General features: G+C 40.4%; 1 long non-coding RNA gene across 1 annotated transcript in view; it reads left to right on the top strand.

Annotated features, from left to right (window-relative positions):
• Positions 1-403: 403 nt before the first annotated feature.
• LOC101928923 (uncharacterized) overlaps positions 404-8,949 on the top strand; it is a 487,547-nt gene continuing 479,001 nt past the window's right edge. The window contains exons 1-2 of the long non-coding RNA XR_001744423.2: positions 404-475; positions 1,921-2,006. This is a non-coding gene — a long non-coding RNA (uncharacterized LOC101928923). The remainder of the gene's footprint in view (positions 476-1,920; positions 2,007-8,949) is intronic.

Raw genomic sequence — 8,949 nt, 5'->3', positions numbered from 1 at the left:
TAGTGAGCCTGTGCCTTTGAATTATTAACTTCACAACAGTGGGCTGAAGTTAGCTATTTCTCTTTTCCCACATGGAAGGCTAGAGCAGACTGGAGTTAGATATTTTCCTTCCCCCACTTAAACTGATGAAACCCCAACAGTTTAGGCTTTTAAATAGCTTCTCTGGAGGACAGGCCTTATTAACAAGAATTGAATGCTCTGGTGTATTTCCAAATGGTTCATTTTCTCCTTCTTCCTTTTGGAAGCATGAAGGTTTTTTGTTTGGTTGTTTCTTTGTTTATTTTTGTTTACCTGTTTTTCACTGTGAGGACTGTAGGTAAAACTCTCAAAAGTGTGGAGTTCTTGATGTAACTAGGTCTCATTGGAGTTTTTATCTCTCAGATGATCTACACTGTACTTCTAGCAATTTGCCAATTACAGTTCAAGTTCTCCTACCTGGTTCCCGCAGGGTTTCTGCTAGGAGGATTCTGCTCTGGTAAATTGTATTTCTCTGTATCTGCTTCTCTATTTCTCCAACTTTGGGGGTGGCAGTTTGTACTGTGATCTTACTTCTTTCACAGATCTAAGAAGAGTTGTTGATTTTTCAGTTTGTTCAGCTTTTTACTTTTTAGGATGACGTGACGACTTCTGAACACCTAATATCCTAGGCCGGAAACTGGAAGTCCTGTGGACTTTTCACTTACCTGCTGGGCACACACAGCTTACTCTGGCTGTGTGTTTAATGCAAAGCTAAACTCATTTTATTTTTAATATAAGGCAATTTAAAAATTATAATCTGTTGCTGAAACTTCAATAGGGTTTCATTAGATATAACGTGAGCTTGGATTAAAGTAGCTGGGAAAGATTTCTTGGATAAATTAATTGCTACAAGAAGTGATCAAATTTAATTTATCAAAACAGAACAAAAAACAAATTAGGTAAATGTAATCATTTATATTTTATTAAGAGCCAAGTATATTCAGAAATAGTAAAACATCACTTATTTTTTCTACACTAAAATGTGGCATACAAAAATATCTCCATTAAAACAATGAGACACTATACCATATTTGTAGCATTTTTAGCATAACATAGCCACCTAATATCAGAAGTCATGTTGGATTGGTATAGCGGGCGTAGACTCAGATCTTCCTCCCATGGAGCCCCACCTTTGTTTCATTCATAGCTGAGAAGTCTGTCATTCCACAGGACTTCTTCTTTAATAAATGGAAGAGAAACATCACTGCACATGTTACAGCAGTTGAGTTCTTTTGAATTAGGTTGTTCCAAAAATTACTGTTTCATCTTGTACAGCTCCCCTACTGATTTTTTAGAACTCAGAGCTACAGTTTCTCTTCCTTGAAGTATTCTAGCATTTTTCTTGTTTTGCTCAGATCATTCAAAAACAAGATATGACTTTTTAAAACATTTTCATGTAAAATGTCCTTCAGTCATGGGAACAATGAAATGTAATATTTAATATGAAATGAACTGCAACATCCCAATTCTAAATTGGAAATATACAGCTGTGTAGTGGCACAGGCCAGAGGTAAGTGGGTGAAATCCATACGTCACATGATTTCTTGTGCTGTTCTGCAGCGTGGCCTGAATTTTAGGGCGATATATGCATATATCACACACATTTTATTTTTTCTACTCTAATATGTGGCATACAAAAATATTTTTATTAAAACAATGACAACAGTTTTCCATATTTGTATTTTTTTGATGATGTAGTCACCTGATATCAGAAGTCATGTTGGATTGTTATAGCAGGTGTAGTTTCAGATCTTCCTCCTGTGGAGCCATATATATTTTGTCGTATATATGAAAAAAATATGGTTCCATGGGAGGGAGATCTGAATTTACACATATATGAAAATGTATTTCCAGCCTGGACTTTTGTTTATCTTTTTTTTGTTTGTTTGTTTTTGCCCACAGAATGGCTATTGCTGACTCCTGGAATGCTGTTTGGAAAAGACTACGGAGAGAGTGATTCTTCATCAGTGATTAAGCATCTTTTCATGGTAGGAACACCCAGATGGGGTTCATTTTGATGATATAATTTACCTGCATGCTTGGAGAGCTTTAATCAAATGAAATACATAGTTAAAAATGTTATATAAAATACGTGCTACTTGGATAGAGCTGTGATTCTTTGGAAGTAGAGAAATGCATCTTGTCGCATTGGGATTTTGTTAATCTCTGGATTTCCTCAACTTTCCCTCTGACTTGTTTCTCAATTTTCCTGCTTCCAATGTGATGAAATGACATTGGCCTCACAATTACCTACTGATCCATTACGCATTTATGTGAGGCACCATGGAGACAGGTACTGGTTTCTTCTTGATGGGTTGTCTAGGAAGGCTTGGGACTTTCAGAATCAACAAGGATTTTATGTTTGACTGATTCTTGCTCAGAGTGGCTAGTATTTGTCATATTCTCCTCAGAGAGAATTTGGAAGTCCACCTCATCTTTTGCTAGGGAGGCGAGGGTCAGCACAGACAAGCATCTCTCGTTTCCACTCAGCTCGTGCTCTGACACAGGCTCTCCCTCAGTGCCACACCCTATGTCTCCCCGTCTCTGAGCAGGCCTATGTAGGAAGGTGCAAAGATAAGTTAACAAAGGATGGTAGCCCTGGTCAGAGGCCTTCAGTTAAACCTTCTTCCTGCAGGTCTCTGCACAGAGTGAGAAGCAACTTGACTGGGCCACACATACAGAAGAGAGGAAGGGAGGGTGGAAAGGGGTCCCATGTAGGGAGAAGACTATAACCATGTGATATGGTTTGGCTCTGTGTCCCCACCCAAATCTCATATTGAATTGTAATCCCCCAGTGTTGGGGGAGGAAGCTGGCGGGCGGTGACTGGATGATGGGGGCAGATTTTCCCCTTGCTGTTCTGGTGATAGTGAGTGAGCTCTCTTGAGATCTGGTTGTTTAAAAGTGTGTAGCACTTCCCCCTTCACTCTTTCCTCCTGCTCTGCCATGTGAAGAAGTTGATTGTTTTCTCTTCACCCTTCCGTGATGACTGTAAGTCTTCTGAGGCCTCCCCAACCATACTTCCTGTACAGCCTGCAGAACTGTGAGTCAATTAAACCTCTTTTCTTTATAAATGACCCAGTCTCAGGTAGTTCTCTATAGCAGTGTGAGAATGGACTATACACAATGCTCCTAGCTTGTATCTCTTCCCCTACCCAACTTTCCTTCAATGAAAGAATGGTAAAAATAGACATTCTAAACTCCTGCCAAATAAGGGCAATACAGCAGTTGCATTTTTTTTCTTCAGAACAAATAAGTATTAGAATGCTTGGATGAAATAAGTCTTTATTCCTACTTCTCCCTGACCCCACCAAATAACTTCATACTGTGAAAAATTGTGCTACTAGTTTTATGTTCTTGAATATTCATGTATTGAATATATAACTCTGTGATCTATGAAGATGATTTGAGTGATTGTATCAGGTTGTAATTTATCACTTGACTTTATAATATTTAGTCACATATGACCAATTAAATTACCCAACCTGACAAAAATGTATAGTGTGGTGCTTATGATTAGCTAATACATTGGGATAATGCATAGAATCATAAAAGCATAGACCTAAGGTGTACACTTCTGTTGTTGTGATAGATAACAGCATTTCCTCATTCAAACTTTTTTTTATTTCTTTTTTTTTTTAATTTTTGAGACAAGAATCTTGTTCTGTTGCCCAGGCTGGAGTGCAGTGGCATGATCTCAGCTCACTGCAACCTCTGCCTCCTGGGTTCAAGCAATTCTTGTGCCTCAGCCTCCCTAGTAGCTGGGATTACAGGCACCTTCCACCACGCCCAGCTAATTTTTTGTATTTCTAGTAGAGACAGGGTTTCATTATGTTGGTCAGGCTGGTCTCAAACTCCTGGCCTCAAGTGATCCACCTGCCTCAGCCTCCCAAAGTGCTGGGATTACAGGCATGAGCCACTATGCCCTGCCTGATTCAAACTTTTTTTATGGTTTGAAAAATATCAGAATTACATTCTCCCCTGCTCACCACCTCTCCATTCCTATCTTTTTTTTTTCCTGCACATCAATATTTCCTTTGAACATGGAAAGATCCAGAAATGCTGACAGATGATAAGAAGCTTGTCCTGACAATTTCCAGATTAGTTTGGTGGATGAATTTCATGAATTTTGGTTAAGAATACTAATTTTTATTAGAATTCTGGGATTTCAGCAAACTAGTTAGGGAAGATAGTAAGAATTTGGATGTATATCTCAAATATTAAGTAACTTCAGTGTTATTATTCTTCCCTTTCTAAGGCATACTAAAACCAGGGATAAACAAGACCCCGAATCCAAATGCCAGTGGGCCTCTTGTCTCAGAGCCCCAAACCAGTAAAGGCATAGGCATTCAAACCCTGCCATTTCCTCCTTTCTTGCTAGGTCACCTGGCAGCCCCACACTGTCCTGTTGTTCTTATCATCCCCACAGGCTCTGGGCAACTGAAGCTGTTGCTGTGTTCCTTCCTCTGTCTGCTCACAAGGGTGCAGGCATCTAGGAACAGGCTTCCCGTTTCCTCTGAGATACCTCTGGGGGACTGTTAGAGGCTATATGATTCTATTTCCCTGTACCACACCCAAAAGCTCATTTCTCCTTTGTCACAAGACTCTCAAGAATTTTACCTTTGTCTTCCTTAAGAGTAATTTTTCAGCTAGGTGTGGTGGCTCACACCTGTAATCCCACCACGTTGGGAGGCCAAGGTGGGAGAAACACTTGAGTCCAGGAGTTTGAGACAAACCCGGGCAACATAGTGAGGCCTCATCTCTATAAAACATAAAAAAATTAGCCGGGCATGGTGGTGCATGCCTGTAGTCACAGCTACTTGGGAGGCTGAGGTGGGAGGATCGCTTGAGCCCAGAAGTTCAAGGTTACAGTGAGCTATGATTGCACCACTGCACTCCAGCCTGGGTGACAAAGAGAGACCCTGTCTCTTAAAAAAAAAAAAAAAAAAAAAAAAGAAAAGTAAATTTTCTGCCACCTAAGAGCATCTCCCATCATTGTTTGGGGAGTCTGCGACATATCTATTTTAGGGAGTGATAATCCTGGTATTTAAAGGCCTATCTCTCCATTCAATGTTTTCTTCAAAGTTTCTCTCAAGAGGCTAAGTCTTCAAAAATTAAAAATAAAAAAAAGATTTCAAATATCTAGATTACGACTCCCCTTTTGCTATGGTTGAGGCTGTCTGGTTGATAATCAGTGATTGAAAAGATGCATGTGCATGTATACTACAAGTAATCCTACAGATTTCAATATCAATCACCCATTGCTCTATGATCAATAAAAATGCAAGTGTTGTTTCTGTATTTCAGAATGTGTGCTGGAGGAGAGAAAGTTTAGAAGAATGTTAGTTTAATTAAATTATCTGTACTTATTTGCAGTGGTATAAAATGTACATATGTAGCAGGCATGTAAAAATTAATTTTTCCCTCATTTCCTGTTTCTCAATGCTATTGAGTCATTAATTTCTTCCTTCAGTAAATAGCTGTTTATGCTTATGTACTATGCACCATGTTCTGTGCTCAGGATATCACAGCAAACAAAGAGAATATGAACTTGACCTCACAGCCTTGTAGTCTAGGAGCTGTAGATAACATTAATAGTTAACTTCATCATCACTGCCCATCTCAATTTAGGAATCTTGTTAAGACCTAGCACATCTGGTTACTTTCAGGATGAAAAAATAAATAATTTTAAAAAACAGGCCGAGCACAGTGGCTCATGCCTGTAATCCCAGCACTTCAAGAGGCCAAGGCAGGCAGATCACCTGAGGTCAGGAGTTTGAGACCAGCCTGACCAACATGGTGAAACCCCGTCTCTACTGAAAACGCAAAAATTAGCTGGGTGTGGTGGCACTCGCCTGTAATCCCAGCTACTCGGGAGGCTGAGGCAGGAGGATTGCTTGAACCTGGGAGGTGGAGGTTGCAGTGAGCCAAGGTCATGCCACTGCACTCCAGTCTGGGTGATGGAGCAAGACTCTGTCTCAAAAAAACAAACAAAAAACAAACAAACAAAAAACAGAAGGCAAACAATTCAGAGTGTTGCTGGTATATGTTGTGTGACTTTTTGAAAAATGTTAATTTTTTATAGGTTTCATTGATCAGCAGTATGCTGTGAGAGTTGTAAAGATCTATATCTGCTTGTTGGGCTGGGCGCAGTGGCTCACACCTGTAATCCCAGCACTTTGGGAGGCTGAGGCAGGTGGATCACGAGGTCAGGAGATCGAGACCATCCTGGCTAACATGGTGAAACCCCGTCTCTACTAAAAATACAAAAGAATTAGCTGGGCGTGGTGGTGGGCGCCTGTAGTCCCAGCTACTTGGGAGGCTGAGGCAGGAGAATGGCATGAACCCAGGAGGCAGAGCTTGCAGTGAGCTGAGATGGTGCCACTGCAGTCCAGCCTGGGCGACAGAGCGAGACTCTGTCTCAAAAAAAAACAAAAACAAAAACCAAACCAAATAAAAAAACCAAACTAAAACAAAAAGATCTATATCTGCTTATTAAGGCAAAATGGTTAATTTCATATAATATACTTGTTTTGTATACAATACAAAGGAAATACCAATACTTTTGGTCTTTTTGAGAAGTCAACATAAAGCATAGAATATTAATGCTGTAGGGACCTGGAAAATATCTTATCGAATTCTGTCATTTCATAGAGGGGAAGTGAAGGAGCCAGAGACAGTGCTGGGTGTCCCCCAGCCTCTGCTTCAGACAGAGGGGTATAATTGAGACCAGCTGAGGCTGGATGACCTTACCACTAGCTTCAACTATAAAAAGAGAATTGCAGAGGAAAACACAAACTTAGAAGAGGCCAAATTTTCTCTGGAGACTTGGTCTAAGGCAAAGCCTTGTTCTTGAGGAAAGCCTGTTATGGAGATTTGCTTTAGGAGGTGGCTGGCTTGCCACTTTCAGCAAGAGCAGAGTGACAATTCCGAGACCTTAAAGAATAAGGTAACCAAGGGCAGTTCTCAAAATTTTACTCTAAAGGAAGTGAATTGAATTTCCTTGGGAATTTTAGCTATTCAAGAATAAAATCCAAAATGTTTTAGAGAGAAAGAGAGAATTGGGTAAAATACTCTTTTTAAAAGCCAGTTACCCATTTTATTAATTCCAAGTCACAATTGAGTTTAAATGCCCCGTCATTTTAGATACCATGAAGGAGGAAAAATCACTGCCCATTAAGCTGTGATCTAAAGTTTTCTTATCATTTTGATTTTATTTTATGCTTATTGAAAGAACCGTTTGAACTTAGACACAAGTTTTTATCATTGGTCACTCTTACGCCTACAAGAACAAGGAAGGTAAATGGGACTAAGCTGGTTGGAAAGGTTTGCCTCTGTGACAGCCTCATGCTGTCTGAGGACTGGGAAAATTTCAAGGTTGGTTGGGTAAGGTATTCCTAAGGTGGGTTAAAGTATTCCTAAGCTTCTTTACATCAAGAGTTCAGTTCTTCTGTCTCACTCTTCATTGAGCATCATTGATGTCCATGATTTTGTAGATACCTATTACATTGAAGACACTGGTGACTCATCATTTCTTAAAAGAACCTATAAAGTAGCAAAAGACCATTGGCACAGAGCTTTTTACTTGGCTTTGGAATTCAGGGGAGAGCTAGTGTGCTGTGGTTCAGGAATGCGGCTGATCACTTCTTGGCACTCCCTCCCAACCTGTCTTCCACGGCCAACTGATTCTGAGTTCTTACCAGAACTCAAGAGTGTGCCTCTCTTTTTTCAGGATTTTTTTCCCCACACTGCTGATGTTCAGTCATGGTTGGATGGTAAGAACTCGTTTGCAATTACCATAAGGCAGACAGAGATTGTCAGATGCCACTGACTCTGAGACACGTCCTGGTTTCGTGCTTCAGAGATGTAAGAATGTAGAAAGAAATGTGTGATGAACGATGACACAGAAAGACTTTATTTCCTTTATTGCTCTTCTCCGTTTGGTATTTGACCTGTTCTGTTGCAGGCAAGGTCAATTAGCTGCTTTGTATTGTCATTGTAAGGAATCAAGTTGGGAGCGCCTGCCTGGCGTTTCTCTAGGTCACGGTCAGAGCGCTGGTAATCTCCAAGCTGTCAACAGGTGTCCTGTGCAGACAGGGCTGTGGTTGCAGAAGTTTGAAAGAGACTGTAGACCGCATTTCTCTTATTTTGATTTTTTTCTTTCTTTCTTTCTTTTTTTTTTTTTTTTTTTTGAGACAGAGTCTCGCTCTGTCGCCCAGGCTGGAGTGCAGTGGTGTGATCTCGGCTCACTGCAAGCTCCACCTCCCAGGTTCAAGCCACTGCTCCTGTTAAATAAATCTTCTAGTTCCTATGGACTAGGAATGTTCAGTGTAACAGCTGGAAACTGTTAGAAGAGTGGATTAGACAACATATGCATACATGCATTATGGTAGAATACAATGTAGCTATTTAAAAAGTTGCACTTAATTTTTAAAAATATTTAACTGTTCATGCCATATTTTTAAGTGAAAAAAAATCAGATTGCAAAGTACTGTGTGTTATAGAATCCTCACTAAGGATACATATATGCATTTTTTTTGAGATGGAGTCTCGCTCTCTCACCCAGGCTGGAGAGCAGTGGTGTGATCTCGGCTCACTGCAAACTCCGCCTCCTGGGTTCAGGCCATTCTCCTGCCTCAGCCTCCCAAGTAGCTGGGACTACAGGCGCCCGCCACCACACCTGGCTAATTTTTTGTATTTTTAGTAGAGACGGGGTTTCACCGTTTTAGCCAGGATGGTCTCAATCTCCTGACCTTGTGATTCGCCCGCCTCGGCCTCCCAAAGTGCTGGGATTACAGGCGTGAGCCACCGCACCCAGCCCCATATGTGCATTTTACATATGTATTTATATGAAACATTCTGGAAGGATATAAAAATGCTAAAAGTTGTTTATCTTGTGGCATTGGGACTACAAATGAGTATAATGTGCTTAT

This window comes from Homo sapiens, chromosome 6 (assembly GCF_000001405.40).
Source record: "Homo sapiens chromosome 6, GRCh38.p14 Primary Assembly".
Classification (NCBI taxonomy): Eukaryota; Metazoa; Chordata; class Mammalia; order Primates; family Hominidae; genus Homo; species Homo sapiens.
Note: the sequence above shows the minus strand (reverse complement) of the source record. Positions and strands in the feature narration are given on the sequence as shown.